Genomic DNA, 18,075 nt, shown 5'->3' on the forward strand with positions numbered 1-18,075 from the left:
CAGGACTTTAAGACTTACTTCCAGACATCAAATAGATTCCATTAGGATCTACTGCTAGACTTGTAACAGCATCCAAGTGAGCTACCATAGAATGGATCATTTTACCTAAACAAAACATAACAGAGAACTGATTAAGTTTTCACAAATACTAACTCGAGACAACAGAAACTACAATATAGCATCAACATAAAACAATCATTATAGCAACTTTTTTATTGTGGTAAAATATACACAACATAAAATTTACCACTGTAAACATCTGAGTACACAATCCTGTGTCTTTTAGAACATTCACAATGTTACACAACCATCACCATTCTCTAGAGTTCCGAACATTTTCATCACTGGAAAAGGAAACCCCATACCCAATTAAGCAGTCACTCCTATTTGCCCCTCCAACCCCTGACCACTAATCGACTCTTTCTATAGACTGGCCTATTCTGGATACTTCGTATAAGTGAACTCATACAATACGTGGCTTTTTGTGTCTGGCTTCTTTCACTTAATATAATGTTTTAAGGGTACATCCACCACTACGGTAATGTTTTCAAGAGAATTTTAATTCAAATGCATAACTTTCTCTAATAATTACTCCTAAAAAAGACATCTGTGTAACATGTATCTGACAATATCTGATAGACACTGTAAAGCAATGACAATAGGATTGCATCAAAGGCTCAAGATCGTGTAAACTGGAATTAAATAAGCCAAGTGTGGTGAGGTGTGCCTGTAGTTCCAAGCTACTCAGGAGGCTGAGGTTGTGGAATCACTTGAACCCAGGAGTTCAAGGCTGCAGTGCACTATGACTGTGCCTGTGAGTGGCCACTGTACTCTAGCTAGCCTGGGCAACATAGTGAAATGCTGTCAAGAAAGGAAAGGCAAGGAAAATGGGAAGGAAAGAGAAAAGAGAAGAAAGAAAAGAAAGGGAAGGGGAGGGGAGGGGAGGGGAGGGAAGAAGGAAGGAAAAGTGTCAGTGAAAGACCTTAAGACTATTTTATATACTGGGCTAACAATAAATAAATCACCAGAAAATATGTTTCTACCTAAACATTCCATTATCAAGTTCAGTTCACTTATCCTTTGAAATATAATCATTTTACATACTCTAAAAAAGAAAGGAGTAAACAAATTACTCTAGATTTCCCCAGATATTAACAAAAACACTGCTCTGGAAAATGTGACTTAATGAGTATCTTCAGTGAAGATTTGGCAAGCAAATGGAATTCAACAGCAAGTAGAATTTAAAAGACAAGTTGTGAACACAAAGTTGTATTGCACAAATACTTTGGGGCAAGGGCATCCTGCAATGGTAATATATGCTTTGGATGGATAGAAAGCATTATAAACTGATTCACTAGGCAGGCAATAAAATATAAATACTGATACTTTTATAAGTTACTCTCCTTTCACTCAGCAATGAGTCTTTATTACTCAAATGCCTGGGATGTCCCTAATGAAAGATAGAGGCTTTTTCCAAAATTCTAGTTATAATCATTAGCCATGCCTCTGGTCCCATGATGATACTCTACACTAGGATATGAAAGAGGTCTAGTTTTGTTATTTGTGATGGGGCTATAGCTGTTGACCTGAATACAAAACCACAACATAATAAAATGTGTAAAAATACACTCCAAAAAACCTATAAAAAGTAATATAGTAGGCCAGCTGTGGGGGATCATGCCTGTAATCCCAGCACTTTGGGAGGCTGAAGCGGGCAGATCACCTGAGGGCAGGAGTTCAAGACCAGCCTGGCCAACATGGGGAAACCTTGCCTCTACTAAAAATACAAAAATTAGCTGGGTGTGGTGGTTAGCACCTGTAATCCCAGCTACTAGGGAGGCTGAGACAGGAGAATCGCTTGAACCCGGGAGGTGGAGGCTGCAGTGAGCTGAGATCGTGCCACTGCACTTCAGCCTGGGTGACAGAGTGAGACTCCGTCTCAAAAAAGAAGAAAAGTCCTATCACTTTCCAGCACTATTAAACACTTATCAGTTGAAGACAAAATTTAAAAAAATTAAAGTCAAAAATTTAAGACAAAATTAAAGTCTCTCATTTCAAACCACAACTCTCATTAATACTAAGAGTAATAAACAAAATAGTCTTAGAAATTCTACTCTGCTAGCCCAAAGAACAGAAAAGTCTTCAACAAACTATCTTCAATTGTTTAGTTCAACATAATTTATCTTCCAGTTCTAGAATCCACTCCTCTCAAAATTCCTATAAAAGACCACAGTGTATAAAATGGTTGGCCTCCATGACAATACTTTCAAAATATTAGGGGTTAAATACCAGGTATCATTAGCTTTCCTTATGTTAAATCTGTGATGGTAAGTTTTATTTTTAAAATTTATTTTATTTGTATTTTTGAGACAGGGCCTTGCTCTGTCACTCAGGCCAGAGTACAGTGGCACCATCATGGCTCACTGCAACCTTATTCCTGGGCTCAAGCAACCCTCTCACTTAACTGGTACTAGAGGCACACGACACCATGCCTGGCTAATTTTTAAATTTTTTGTAGAGACAGAATCCCGTATTGTTGCCTAGGCTGGTCTCAAACTCCTGGTGTCAAGCGATTCTCCTGCCTCAGTCTCTCAAAGTGCTGGGTTTACAGGCATGACCCATCACACCTAGCCTTGATGGTAAGTTTCAATTCACAGATCTAGTTCAAACTTCTCTCTTGAGAATGATCCTCTATCTCCTAAGTTTAACATCTCTAAACCAAAAGACTTTTTTCCAATACAAGAGCTACACATTTCTTTAAGGATGCTATAATTTTCCAAGTTTAACTCCAGCTCTCCAGCCTGTGCACTAAACTAACCCTCACCCTGATTATCTTAAGTCAATTGAGAGTTAACCCTTCTTCTCCACAGAGTCACAAAAATCACTTCAAAATGTGAGTAATCCCTTCAGATGGACCATGAATAGAGAACACAATGCTGGACCAAGTTGTATGTTGGGCTTTCACTGGTGACCACATAAATCACAAAGCTTCTGACCCCTTCCAGTAACGAGGACCTCTCCTTCACTAACATATACCTGCAGCTTCTCACATCTAACCAATTTCATTTTGGCCTCGTGCTTCTGCTAATACTCTACCAAAACTAATCCTAATTTTTTCCTCTTATGACTAAGGAAATAAAGGCTGGACAGATGCCACTGCACATGCCCATTCTCCCCTCCCTGGCACCTTAAGCCCTTTTACTGGCTAACACTGTGGGCCTCTATTAAATGGAGAGAAAATAAAGATGTCAAATGTAAACTACGGAAACAAACTGTGTGAGTTTAAATACTGCACAAGTCACTTAACTTCTTTAAGCCCTTCAACCTCATGTGTAAAATGGGGATAATAATAGTACTATATCTACCTTACAGAGTTATTAGAAAAGCAAATGAGTTAGAACAATGTCTCACACAGAATAGACAATATACCACTAGTCTGTAGCTCCAAGAGGACAGGACATTTTATTCTGTTCACCAAGCTTCAAGAACTGTGCCAAGAATATGGCAGATAGTCTAGACATTTTGCTGAATGAATGAGTCCACAGCTGATACAAGATCTTCCTCCCACTCCTCCACATCCCTCATTCATACTATAAGGTTCTTCCAGAATCACTCACTACCTAAGTCTTTCAGACACAGTATAGGAAACTCAAATTTGTAACTCTACCAAAATTTTAGAAACCATGGGTCCTGAAGATCTCTCTGAAATAAATAGTAGAAATTGAAAACTTTAAATCCTTTAAAGTCAAGAATCTATCATATAGTGCAAAATGTGACTTGATTAGTTTTTCTAAACCAATTTTGCAAGCCCTGTTGTTCAAATATTTTTAGTGGTTCCTACACATACAGCATAGATAAAAATTCAATATTCTTAACCTGGTTCTAAAAGTCCTCCTCAATAGATTCTATTTTCCTTCCCCAAACTTTGTCTTTGGCTTTGTCTATAAGAAACTTCTGTTCCTGAGAAAGTTTCCACCACTGCACCTCTGCTCAAAATATCCCCATACCTGTAACTTCCTACTACCACTTCCTTCACTTAAAAACCAACCAACCCCAAACACCTTTCCATTCCTAAGGCAAAGCTTCATCTTGCACATACCCCCCCCACCCCCTCTTATTTCCTCTAGACAACAAGCCCACAGAAATCAGGAACCATATCTTATACATGATAGTATCCAGTGCAGTATAGTACAAAATGCTGAATACATTTTTATTAAAATGGTTTACTCATTTAAATAATTATTGAACCTATTCATAGCATAAAGTTCTATCATGTTTCAGATATAAAAGCTCAATAAATTTAATACTCATTTTATAAAGTAATACTCTATTAAAAACAACTTAGCTAACCGGAAACAGCAGTTACGGGGACAATCTATTTTACCACAATTAAATGAGTTTTTAAAGAACTTCTCTGAAAACACCATATCCAGGCCGGGCGCAGTGGCTCACACCTATAATCCCAGCACTTTGGGAGGCCAAGGTGGGCGGATCACCTGAGGTCAGGAGTTCAAGACCAGCCTGGCCAACATGCTGAAAGCCTGTCTCTACTAAAAATATAAAAAATTAGACAGGCGTGGTAGCAGACGCCTATAATCCCAGCTACTCAGGAGGGTGAGCCGGGAGAATCACTTGAACCCAGGAGGCAGAGGTTGCAGTGAGCCGTGATCGTGCCACTGCACTCCAACCTGGGCAATAAGAATGAAACTCCATCTCAAAAAAAAAAAAAAAACCACACCAAAAAAACATACATCTGAAGACAACTCATAGTTTCATGTAACTCAACGGGGGGTGTGGGGCGGGGGGGGGCGGTGTGTGTGTGTGTTCAGGCACAGTGGCTTACGCCTGTAATCCCAGAACTTTGGGAGACTGAGGCGGGTAGATCACTTGAGCCCAGGAGTTCAAGACCAGCCTGGCCAACTTGGTGAAAATACAAAAATTAGCTGGACATGGTGGCACACACCTGTAGTCCCACCCTGTAGTCCCACCCAGCTATGTGGGAGGCTGAGGCACCAGAATCAATTGAACCCAAGAGGCGGAGGTTACAGTGAGCTGAGATGGTGCCACTGCACTATAGCTCTGGGCAACAGAGCAAGACTGGCTCAAAAAAAAAAAAAAAGGATTTTTTTTTCTATTATTTGGAGCCTACTGCTTCAATTATCTTCATACTACAGGTAAGGTACTAGTTAACAGAAATAATAAATAGGTGAAATTTGGAAACAATTTGAAAGACTATATGCTGCTTATTTGATATTGAGTAAGCTTTTACTGACCACTTTCTTGATTTCTGCTAATAAAATAGCTTTTCAGATGCTCACCTTTTGCTTTTAATATAACTACTAAAATTCCTGAACTTTCCCATATAACTGTAAATCTTCAATAATTAATAAACAGGAATCTTTTTAGAAACACAAAGGAAATTAACCTCTTTGCTCTTGCAGCAGAGAAAAACATTATCGGTTTCATAAAAATAGTTCAAAGGATTGATTTGATGAAGTGTTAAATTGGGAACACTGGCCAGGAGCAGTGGCTCATGCCTGTAATCCCAGCATTTTGGGAGGCTGACATGGGAGGACTACTTGAGCCCAGGAGTTTAAGACCAGCCTGGGCAACACAGTGAGACCCTGTCTCTATAAAAAAAAAAAAAAATTTAAATATTTTTTTTAAAAAGAACATCCACTTGAATCTTATGTCCTGTGCACAATGTAGACCTGTAAATATTCACTTTGTCTGCAATTTGTTAAAAAGAATCTGTCCATGAAAGTAATGTTTGAACAAAAGGGTCTCATTGTTAAGACTACAGACTAAAACATATTGCCATTTTCTATATAATCTTCAAAGAGAAACCTATAATTCTGGGTCACTGTCTTACTTGATAATTTGTTACCCTGTAACAATGTTGCAATTAACATTTACATTTCTTATTTAGAAGTCCTTCAGTACCCTGACTGTTTTAGCCTCTCCTCAAAGTAGCCTTCCTAGCTGTCAGACCTTTCCTGAAAGAGAGCAAGCTATCTATTATCTATTATTCTAGGTAATGACTAGATAAAAAAGAGGCCCAAAACAAACAAACAAACAAACAAAAAACAACCACACATCTATGGCTAAGTTAAAATCTGATTCGACTTCAATACAACTGGTATATTTCCCTACAACAAGAAATACAGGGAAGATGATAATAAACACTATGCACTATAATGTCATTTGATCCACTGAGACATAGTTGTAAGAACATATTGGACGACCGGGCGCGGTGGCTCATGCCTGTAATCCCAGCACTTTGGGAGGCCAAGGCAGGTGGATCATCTGAGGTCAGGAGTTCGAGACCAGCCTGACCAACATGGAGAAACCCCGTCTCTACTAAAAATACAAAAAAAATTAGCCAGGTATGGTGGTGCATGCCTGTAATCCCAGCGACTCGGGAGGCTGAGGCAGGATAATCGCTTGAACTCAAGAGGCCGAGATTGCAGTGAGCTGAGATTGCACCATTGCACACCAGCCTGGGCAACAAGAGCAAAACTCCGCCTCAAAAAAAAAAAAAAAAAAAAAAAAAAAAAAAAAAAAATGGAAATGCCAAACACCAGAAAGAGATCTACCTCTTCCATCATACTTATTCATAACAGAATATGAGGGAAAAATTTCAAATGGAAGGATCTACATTTAACTAACATGACTTGAAGAAATCGTAATAGCTAGGCAAGGTATTATGTCTAGTTAAGGATAAAATAACAAATCATAAGCGTGCAACATTAAGAAAAGCAAAAATCTGAGTTAAAATGGTTTCATTTGGCAATTTCGTATCTGAAAAGTCAATATATCTTACATAAAACAGCATTTTTGATCATCTCAAATTTACAGTATTACTAATATGAAAAGAAGACAATTTGCTTACCCGTTTTATTGTCAAAAAATTTGATGTGTCTATCTTCATGAGCAGTTATTGTAACAGGAAGTGTGGGATGACTTACTACTCTGTTGATATGATTATTAGATTGTAAACCTGAAAAATAAAGGAAGACAATAAGTTAAAATTCAAACCTTTAATAAGAAGTTGGATAATGGCCTTTTTAATCGTGCTAAAATATAAAAATCATTAAAAACTAAACCTTTTGCATAAAACAAAAAATCTGAGAACCAAACAAGGACTCTAGAGAGATTTTTAAAAAATAAACATTTACATTATTATGTCCTATAATATAGACTGTACTAGGCTCAAATTTAGAAAAACTGAGAAGTGTTTTAATGCCACCCTTTATTATAGGTAGTTTAGAATTTTTAAAAGATCCACAATTATTACTTCTAATACACAGTCCATATAAGAGTTATAAGCATTTAAAGAAGGAAAACATTCACAATTGCTAGTCAGATGTTTGTAAGGAACAACCCCCATCTACCTACACTGACAAAAACAAAAAAACAAAGAACTGGAATTAATGATCTTTAAAGATGAGATTTTTTTCTTTACCAGTAAGCTCTTACTAACTTTTTATTAAAGATGAGAGAGAACAGAGAAATATCAAAACAAATAAATGGGGGGAAACTCCTCAATATTAATAGACTTTAGATCATTCATTCTGCTTATGTATCGCAACTCATATATTACACCTAAACATATAAAAAATACATATATATATATAGTTACCTATGTAGAGTAATTAAAAAAATAGGTTTGAGGAGATACTGGGAAAGAGACTTAGAAGATAATTTTGGTTTAAGATCTGACCATGGCACCATGTAAATATTTTACATAATTATAAAACAATTTTTTTTGTTTAAGAGACAAGGACTCACTCTGTCACCTAGGCTGGAGTGCAATGGTGCAATCATAGCTCACTGTAACCTTGAACTCCTGAGCTCAAGGGCTTCTCCTGCTTCAGTCTCCAAAGCTAGGACTACAGGCACACATCACCATGCCCACCTAATTTTTTAAGTTTTTGGTAGAGATGGGGTCTCACTATGTTGCCCAGACTGGTCTCTACTCCTAGCCTCAAGCTATCTTCCCACATTGGCCTCCCAAAGTGGTGAGATTACAGGCATGAGCCAATGCGCCCAGCCAACAGTTGTTTTTCTAAAAGAAATTAATGAAAATCAAAAGTAAAATTAAACAAATGAACTTAAGTATATCCAACTGGTGGTGTAACTACAAAGGAAGGAACTATTCCAAGTGACTTTAAAGCATAGAAATTAGATTGTATATCACTAGTGGAATATACCCTAATTACAAAGTTTTATTATCAATATTTGATCTTTTGGTGGTAATGGTATTATTACTGAGACGATTCTGTGTACACTGTGGGGTAAATAAAATGAGAAACAATTTTGTTGAGAACCAAGATAAATCTGAAGTTGAAGTATTTTACTTTTTAAAAAATGTTTATTTCTTAGCTCTGTCCATTGAAAAAGCCTAACACAATGAACAACCCAGGAGCCATGAAGACCATGAGGATCAACTCAACAGCCTAGTACCCCAACTGTAGTCTCTAAATACCATTTCCCACTAAAAGAAACCACAACTCCTTAGATAAATAGCTGATTTCAGATCTAGGGCACAAAATGAACAACATGAACCTAGAAGATCTTGTCATATGTCATATCAGGAAGCTATCAACAACAACCAAAGTCATGGCAAAAGGACTCAGGAGCCAACATGAGCCCCACTGAGTAAGCCCCACTGGCCAAAATCAAAGGATCTGAACAGCAATAAATAAAGATAATACCTGCAATGGATCAAAACACATCAAATACATTTATATCCATGAGAGAGTATGATGATACCAAAAACACCACCCAAGACAAACTGGTCACCTTTAGAGGGTGCTAGCAAACCAACTCATTATTTTAAAAACTGGTAAATAAAGGGGAAAACCAAAACCCAATCATTTATCTTGCCTTTTTCCTTAATACACACTAACTCCAAGGTAACCAAATTGTTGATAAAGAGATGTTCTTTTTTATAGGAATAATCTAGCTAATAAATGGAGAGGGAATGATAAAATTAGAAAATCTTTCAATAGAAAATGAATGAACCCAGGAAATAATCCAGACTGAAAACATCACAAAAACATGAACAACCAGAAAATACTCACCTCTGATAAAAGCTTACAAATTACTTATGAAGTAAAGTTGCCAAGAACATTTAAAAATTTTTAAAAGAAAAAAACAGTGAACCTGAATTTGAATAAGTCTTTAGATCTATAATCAATTCACAGGAGAACTGTGAATAGAAATAGAGAAGCACATTAAATAACACAGGAATGCAACTAGCAAAATCCAGACTGTCGGAAACTTGACAAGACAAAGTAGCCAATTTCGTCAATTAAAAAAAAAAAAAAAAGAACATAAAAGAGATGAAGGGGAATCTATGGATGAAGAGAGACCTGAGAGACCTATCAAACAACTGCAATACATAAATCTTATGTGATCCCTATCTAAATAAACTGTAAAACACCACATAATGCATGTGTAATACTGGGCATTTATAGATAGGTATTAAAACTGAATGCTGAGTACATTAAGTTCATTATGTTATTTTCTCTACTTTCACCTTCATATTGCTCTAGACATTCCTCTTTTCCCATATGTCCACCCAAGCTTTTAAGCAAAATTTGAAGAAAAAGCAGACATAATATAAATAAGTATAACTGTAACATTATGAAACTAATTATTTTGCCATCCTAAATTCAAATAGTGAAAATATGAAAATTAGCTAAAAGATCACCCTCTATTGTGTAATAACCCTTTTTAAGGTTTCAAAGAAACTCCATGAAAACTTACCAGAATCTACCTGTGATGAAAGTATCACCAATGACTGTGATGTTTCTAAATCATAAATTACTGCACTACCAGTGTTGAAAGAGGTTACCATATGAGCTGGATCACAGCCTATAAAGTCAACTGATGTAGGTATTCCATGCTCTGAAATGAGCCCAAAGACAGACAATGTAAACAAAGTAAAATTACTATGAAATCTCTACTTTTTGAAATCTCTGTTTTTCTAATCAGAAAAAGGAATTCAAATAGTCTTGAAATACTGTTAATAATGAAAAGGAACACAACTGTGTCAGGATGGTGAGATAAGAAATATCTTTTCCTCAATTATTTAAAAACTTTATAGCATTCTATTTAATATTGTAAGAAAAATATAACTACAGAGCTCATAAAGAGTAAATACATGCAAAAGTTATTTGTTCTATTACACGTTTTCTTCTAAGGGATTAAATAAAATCCTAGTCTTTTGGCCAATTTGCCAATTATACTTCTTACTGTAAAATGATAAATTAGCATTCTCACATAACTTTGGGAGACTGGTTCACCTATCAGAGATCTGTAGGCCTTATCAAGCAGCTAATACAAGTCAGATTTTTGGACTCATGAAAATGGCTTGGACTCTGGAATCAGCTGATGCAGTACTTTACCCTAAAATGGCCTGAGCAGCAATTTCTCTCTTTAACATACTAAATTAAACTAGCCAGATCAATGCACAATTAGATGGAATATGGAGCCAAGCTATTAACTATCTAGATGAAGCCAGAAACAAATACCTAAATGAATTCTTACCTCTAAAGCTTGGATAACTGAAAATTAGTACAATCACTACGGTGTCTAAGAGACACAAAATTATATATTTACTATTCACCTAAAATGTTTTAAAACAATATGTATTTTTATGTACAAATAAAAGGTCTAATTAAAAAAATTTAAAATGACTTGGAAAATAAGACCAGTAAATGTCTTCAAAAGGTAAACTGGTTAAAGCCTTTTTAAATAGGAAAATATTTAAAATCATGAAAATAACCCAATTTGTACTGTTCCAGTTAGGGGTTCAGTGACTATGGCTGGACTACTCAACTAGTGTGCTCGAGGTAATGGAACACAGGGTTTATAGGTATGCTTGAGACTGTGATCCCTTCGGTCTTTGTGGGGTAGTCGTCTGGAACAGGTGGTGTGCCTCCTGTTGTCCCTATGAGTATCCTCATTTGTCTATTCCACTGTTATATACAATAGTTTTACATTTTTAAAAAATGGAATACAAAAAAGGTAAAAAAGCATTGCACTACAGGACATAGTTGCAAAGCACTTCAAAAAAATGAGTAAAAAGTTTATCCTAACTTTTACAAAATTCATTCAATATATCTCTTTGGAACAGTAAAGAAATACATCAATTACTTTGTCCTTTATATATTCCAATTTTTTAAAAAAACTAACTTTTCTCACAGATGCAAAATTTACTTACTTTTATCTCCATTGTAAGTGCAAATACATGGCAATTTTTCTTGTGGATTCCATAACCTAACAGTGCCATCTGCTGAACAAGACAGTAATTGATTTTTTATGCCACTATAAGCAAGACCCCAAACTGCATCTGTATGACCAACTAAAGTGCCAGCTAGAACATTTGGCTCTGGGGAAAAAACAAACAAACAAAAAATTAGGTAAAAGAAGTTTAAAAGAAACTTTGATACATAAAGAAAACTTACCATATAACTGAGCATAAAGAACACACATAAAGGCCACAAGAAGATAAACTAAAGTGTACATAGTGGCTATATCTAAGAGTAGAGTTATGGCCTACTTTTATACCCTCCTCCCATCAACATTTTTCTGTATTTTCACAATTTTCTATAAAGAAACATATGCTTTTTTTTTTTTTTAAAACAGCTTTCTTGAGATACAGATATAATTTACATACCATACAACTCTCTCATTTAAAGTGTATACTTCAATGATTTTTGGTATGTTGTTCACAGAGTTATACAACCATCATGACAATCAATTTTAGGGTACTTTCATCACTCATTAGTCACTTCCCCCAATTCCTCCTCCCCACCTTTCCACAAGTCTAGGCAACAACTAATGCTCTGTCTCTATAGATGTGTCTTTCTGAACATTTTCTATAAATGGAATCATACAATATGTGGTCTTTTGTGACTGGGTTCTTTCACTGAGTATGTTTTCTTTTTTTCTTTTTGAAATAGGGTCTTGCTCTATCACCCAGGCTGGAGTACAGTGGCATGGTCACAGTCCACTGCAGCCTTGAACTCCTGGTCACTGAACATGTTTTCAAGGTTTATCCATGTTGGAGCATGTATCAGTACTCCATTTATTTTTAGTGCCAAATAATATTCTGCTGTATGGATATACCATATTTTATTTATCTGTTCCTTAACTGACAGACATTTGACAGCTGATAACATTGAGCATAATTTGTCTGACAATCCTGTTTTTCTAGTAAACTCCTCCCACTTTCCATGAATGGTTCTTATCATCTCCACAATTCTCACAGCTCCCAACCTCTCTTCCTCATGAATGACTATGCCTCATATTTCACTGAGAAAATATAGCATTCAAATAATGCTGCATGTTTCTTATCCCCCATCTTCTTGCTGCGTAATATATAAATGATTAGTGTCTAAAGGTATCTTCTCCTAGCTTCCAGATACAAGCAAGGAATCTGTCCTCCATCCTATCAAAGGCTAATACCAGATGTCACTAACTTGCTGTAATGTTTACTGCTTCTCTACTACACAAATTCTCCTCCTTGGAATCATTACCATAGTGAAAAAAAACTTGTTCCAGAATCTCTTCAACAAAAAATCTTCATTAATCCTATCCTACCACCCCTTCCACCCAGCAATAGAAATATGCTTTTCACTTCCTGTTTACTCTTCAAATCACTCCAATTTGGTTTCTGATACCACTACCACACCAAAACAATCCTTGCTAATGATGATCCCTACACTATCAAATTTAATACTTTTCTTTGATGATACAAAACATTTTGTTGTTGTTCCCATTATATTGCTTTTCATCCATATAGTCTGACATGAAAGATTATCCAGAGGTCCCTTCATTCTTCAGTCTTAGCTGCAGCGTCCAAACTCTGTCTGGCCAAGACCTGGGTGACCTGCTAGTCACTTATAAAAAGGAAACTTTATATCATATTATTGGACCTCTCAGCAACATTCGAAAGTGCAGACTGCTTCTTTCTTCTCAAAATTGTTTCTTCTTTAGTGTGCGCTTCCATGATTTCGCACCCTCTCCTGCACTTCCTTCTGTCTCTTGGGTCACACCTCCTCAGTTTCCTTTCTTGGCTCTCTTGCTCTAGCCACTCTTCCAGTGTCAGAGTTACTGAGGACTTTAGTCCCAGGTTGTCTTCTCTTCTTACACCAAACAATACACTCCCCCAGTATTGCCCATTCTTATAGTTTAATGTATTATTTGTATAGAGAAGACTGTCCATGTTTTTAACTTCAATCGAGATCTCTTTGGGCTCCTTATTTGTATATTACCTACTTGATATTTGTCATCCTTTAACATGCCTAAAATCTGAACTCACCATCTTAAATCTCCTCACACCTGTTCTGTCCTCGTTTCAATAAATGCTCCCATCACATGCTCAGTTACTCACATCAAACAGGACTGAATGTTCTGAATGTTTGAAATGTTCTGAAATTAGTGATGATGGCTGTAAAACTTTGTGAATGTTCTGAAATTAGTGATGATGGCTGTACAACTTTGTGAACATAGTAAAAACTACTGAACTGTAGACTTTAATTTTTTTTTAGAGATGGGGTCTTGTGGCTGCACATAGTGGCTCATGCCTGTGATCCCAATACTTTGGGAGGCTGAGGCAGGCAGATCACTTGAGCCCAGGAGTTTAAGACCACCCCGGGCAACATGGCCACCATTTCTACAAAAAATACAAAAATTAGTGCGGTGTGGTGGCTCACACCTGTGGTCCCAGCTCCTCAGCCTGGGAGGCGGAGGTTGCAGTAAGCCAAGATCACGCCACTGCCCTCCAGCCTAGGAGACAGAGCAAGACTGTTTCCAAAAAAGAAAGAGAGAGAGAGAGAGAGATTGGGTCTCACTCTCTTCCCAGGCTGGAGTACACTGGCACCATCATAGCTCACTACAGCCTTTACTTCTCACACTCAAGTGATCCTCCCAGCTCAGCCTCCCGAGTGTCTGGGACTATAGGCATGTGACACCCCATCTGGCAAATCTTTAAATTTTTGGCAGACATGAGGTCTCACTGTGTTGCCCAGGCTGGTCTTGAACTCCTGGCCTCAAGTGATCCACCCACTTCGGCCTCCCAAAGTGGTGGGATTACAGGCATGGACCATTGTGTCCAGCCTGAACTGTATACTTTAAAAGGGTGAATTTTGTGATATGTAAATTATCTCAGTAAAGCAGTTAAACACATACAAATTAAGAGTCACTCACCCATCACTTTATCTACTCAACATAATTTATCAATAAATCCTGTCTATTCTACCACACTCCCTCAGCGTATCTTAAAACCACTTCTAAATGCTGTGCTACCACCACTCTAATCTTGGCAATGTCGTTTGTCACCTAGTTTACTGGACTACTTTATGACAGCAGCCTCCTAACTGGTATTTCTCTTTCCACTCTTCTCGCCCCCAATTTATTCTTCTCACAACAGACACAGTCACCTTTTTAAAACCTTACATTTATCAGATAACTTTCTGGCTTAAAACTCTTTACTGAAAGTTTCCTCTTATCCTTCAGATTTTGGCTTGAATGTCACTATTTTAGAAAGACCTTTCTTGACTAACTCTTCTAGAGAAGGTTCTGCCTGTTACGCCCTCTCAACAGTACTCTATCTTCTTATCATTTATCACAATTTGTAACCATAGATCCCATCCCTTCGCTTATCTGTTTTATGTCTCTACTTTCCATTAGTCTAAATCTTATTTCTTGACATAGTGCTTACCACAATGCCTAGCTAATGTAGGCACAATGTGTGTGTTAAATAAAAAGAACAAAGAGTTCATAAACATTTTGTTTTAACGTTTTATAATTATTAACAGTGCCCTTACAAATATATTTGAACACAGGTACAGGTAGGTGTTTCTGTAGAACAGATTTCTAAAAGCTACATTTGCAAGTCAAAGGAGGTTTCCTTTCTTTTTTTTTTTCTTCCATTTTGAAATTAAGAATGTTTTTGTAGATATGAGCTAAGAATAACAAAAAAAATTTTTGGCTCCAAAAAGTTTTAATGATTTATACCCCTGATGTTGGTTCCATTGTCTTTTGCTTAATATTTTTAAAATATATAAACTATTTCTTAAGTTCAAAATTTTGTTACTTAGATTACATTTTGTTTCCTCCTTCTTTTTGTAACTACTACCTAAATTAACATTTTAATTAATATAGTTTTTTAAACAACAGAGAAAGTATCAATTCATAGGCTTAAATACCCATGGCATGACATTTCCTAATTTTTCTCTTTAATAAAGCAATTTATTAGCAAATGGAAGAACTAAATGAGGTGACTAATATAGGTTTAAATAACCTTGTAATCATATTTGAGGTATTTACTTTTGTCAGCTCCATTCACTTAAAAAAAATACATTTTGATCATTTTACTTACCATATGTATCATATGGATCTACACTGGGACTCGGCATATTCCACCACTGGATGGTTGCATCAATACCACCACTAAAACACTGTTCTCCATTAGAACTAATAGCTAATGACAGAACAGGGCCGCTATTGTAGGAAGAGAGGAAAAACAAATTACTGATAAATTCTAAGAAGAAACTCAAATCTCCATTCCCCCAACCTCTGAATTTATGTAATATCTAAAAACTGTTTTAAGAGAACATGTACACCTGACTGGTACTTTTTTTTTTTTTTTTTTTTTGGAGACAGGGTCTCACTCTGTCACCAGCCCAGACTGGAATGCAGTGGTGATCTCTGCTCAGTAAAACCTCCACCTCCCAGGTTCGAGCGATTCTCCTGCCTCAGCCTACTGAGTTGCTGAGACTACAAGCGCACGCCAACATGCCCAGCTAATTTTTGTATTTTGTGGTAGAGACGGAGTTTCACCATGTTGGCCAGGCTGGTCTCGAACTCCTGACCTCAAGTGATCTGCCCGCCTCAGCCTCCGAAAATCCTCAGATTACAGGCATGAACTACTGCATCTGGCCTGAATGGTACTATTATATTCATAGTCTCACCAATACAATTATTAAATAGCTATTATTCAAGTAATACATCTTTTCTAATACAAAACATTGAGAAAATTACAAGGTTTGAGGACCGATAAATAATATTTAACAATAATGATGATGTTAATTAAATACCAATTCAGTAAAACTTACATGTGGGCCCTAAATGTGTAGATAGGCTCTACATCTAAAGAGGCACTCCTAAAAGAGGGGGAAAAAGGGTAGGGGAAGAGAAGGCAATTAAATAACTATGAATCACTGGTTGATATTAAATAGTCATTAGATCAAATGTGTGCATTAAAGACATGCAACAATAATGAGGAATAATTACTTATATTAGCAAAATTGGAAGAAATACACCAGGCTAACACTAAAATACTTGCTTTTTGGCAGGAACTGTTTTTTGCAGGTTCCAAAGTTTCAGGGTATGGTCCTCAGAAGCAGTAACCAGCACAGGTTCTACAGGATGAAAAGCTAATGCCCGTACTCCATCAAAATGGCTACGTAGTGTATACTTGGGATTCCATGTCTTTCGAAAGGCATCTTTATTAGCAGGCAACTAAAAGGAAAGAGCACAATATTTAGTGGTAAAAGTAGTAAACTGGAAGGCATGTGGAGTGTTTGTTCGTTTCTTTTTGGTGTGTTTAACACATATATTTAAAACTGTTGGCTAAAATGTCCAGTGGAAATTTAATGTACCTTTAAAACTTTCTAAAAAAACTTTATCATTTAATAATAACTCAGAATAATTTCATTCGCCTTACAAATAGCCTAGGTCAAATGAAGAGTTCCTTAATCTGTTTTTACCTATTAAGCTAAACCCAAAGCTCCCATTAAATGTCAGATGAGAACAAAATAACTACCATTGCTGCAATACTTTACATGAAAAATAATTACATAAGTTATTACAAATATCCAACGGTACAGTATTAACAGTAAAGTTGTCATTTAGAAAACGTATTAGCATGTGAAATTATTAAAGGCAGCAAGTTAAGGTACTTTCTGAAAGTCTGAACTAAAGACCCTTTAAGAATATTTTTATCCCATTTTCATAATTCTTGATATTGACAGAGGTTTATCTTTTTACCTTCACATTTCTCCATCTGTAAAGATAGGCTGTGAAACCACTTCTAAAGCAGTCAAAAGTTTACTGGAATTTAGTCACTTATATACTTAAAAAAATATATTAATGAGAATAATCCAGCCCACCAAAGGCTGTCTCTAAGCATGCTAATGTTAAGTATAAAACGTGGAAAAAAGAAACTCATTATAAAAAGAAAAAAAAATTGCTGAAAAACTGCAATTAACATAAAGATCTAACAAGTATAGTTAACTCTCAATTGAAATATTAATGACTAGAAAAAATTAAATCCAAGACAAGTTTCACCTCTAACACTGGACTCCCCACTCCCCAACCCTTCCATCCACTCCCCAATCCTCTAATGAAGGAGTTAAGTATTCAGGAAATGATGCAAGCTAACTTTAAAATGTTCAGAAACTTTAAAATATTTCCTTAAGAAAATAAAAGTTCAAAAATAAAACATGCTTTTTAAGAAGTACTCTGAAGGCAAATATATGATTCAGGTTATTTTTTTTCTTGTTAACACCAAAATATGGCTTAATTTGAGATAATTGAGAGTTGACTACTCAAGATGTATTTACTGACCAATATATTAATCATCTCAAACTTCTAGTTAATCCACCAAAATACCTAAAAAAAAAATTTAAATACCACAAAGAGAGTAGTTATAAAAGAAAAACATGTCACTTCAAATCAACACATTGACACAAACTTATCTTTTCCATGCACCTTGATATTAATTCTGTTTTATAAGTGATTCCAAAAAATAAGGAGCCTTCTATTAAATCATTAAAAAATTAAAAATAAAACTGCACTTACATCATAACTATAGTCTGCATCATTTGTTACCGTCAAGTCTGCAAGGTCTCCAAGGCCCAGTACACTTAACAAAACATCATCAGAACCCATAATAAATGACTTGCCTCCTCCAGATGGAAACGTTATTGGTTCAGCTATAAAGAACAAAACCGCTTCTTAAATGCTGAAAAATCATACAGTACAAGACAATATTGT

General features: G+C 36.1%; 1 protein-coding gene across 5 annotated transcripts in view; it reads right to left on the bottom strand.

Moving 5' to 3' along the window:
- Nucleotides 1–18,075, bottom strand: part of STRN3 (striatin 3) — a 132,576-nt gene that overhangs the window by 1,840 nt on the left and 112,661 nt on the right. For all 5 annotated transcript variants that reach the window (NM_014574.4, XM_005267569.5, XM_005267570.5 and 2 more), the window contains 8 exons: nucleotides 17,881–18,014; nucleotides 16,364–16,539; nucleotides 16,134–16,181; nucleotides 15,398–15,519; nucleotides 11,234–11,401; nucleotides 9,775–9,915; nucleotides 6,893–7,000; nucleotides 19–105 (listed from right to left, as the gene is read on the bottom strand). In NM_014574.4, coding sequence (NP_055389.3) covers nucleotides 19–105; nucleotides 6,893–7,000; nucleotides 9,775–9,915; nucleotides 11,234–11,401; nucleotides 15,398–15,519; nucleotides 16,134–16,181; nucleotides 16,364–16,539; nucleotides 17,881–18,014 — 984 coding nt within the window. The remainder of the gene's footprint in view (nucleotides 1–18; nucleotides 106–6,892; nucleotides 7,001–9,774; nucleotides 9,916–11,233; nucleotides 11,402–15,397; nucleotides 15,520–16,133; nucleotides 16,182–16,363; nucleotides 16,540–17,880; nucleotides 18,015–18,075) is intronic.

Source organism: Homo sapiens, chromosome 14 (assembly GCF_000001405.40).
Source record: "Homo sapiens chromosome 14, GRCh38.p14 Primary Assembly".
In the NCBI taxonomy this organism is placed as follows: domain Eukaryota; kingdom Metazoa; phylum Chordata; class Mammalia; order Primates; family Hominidae; genus Homo; species Homo sapiens.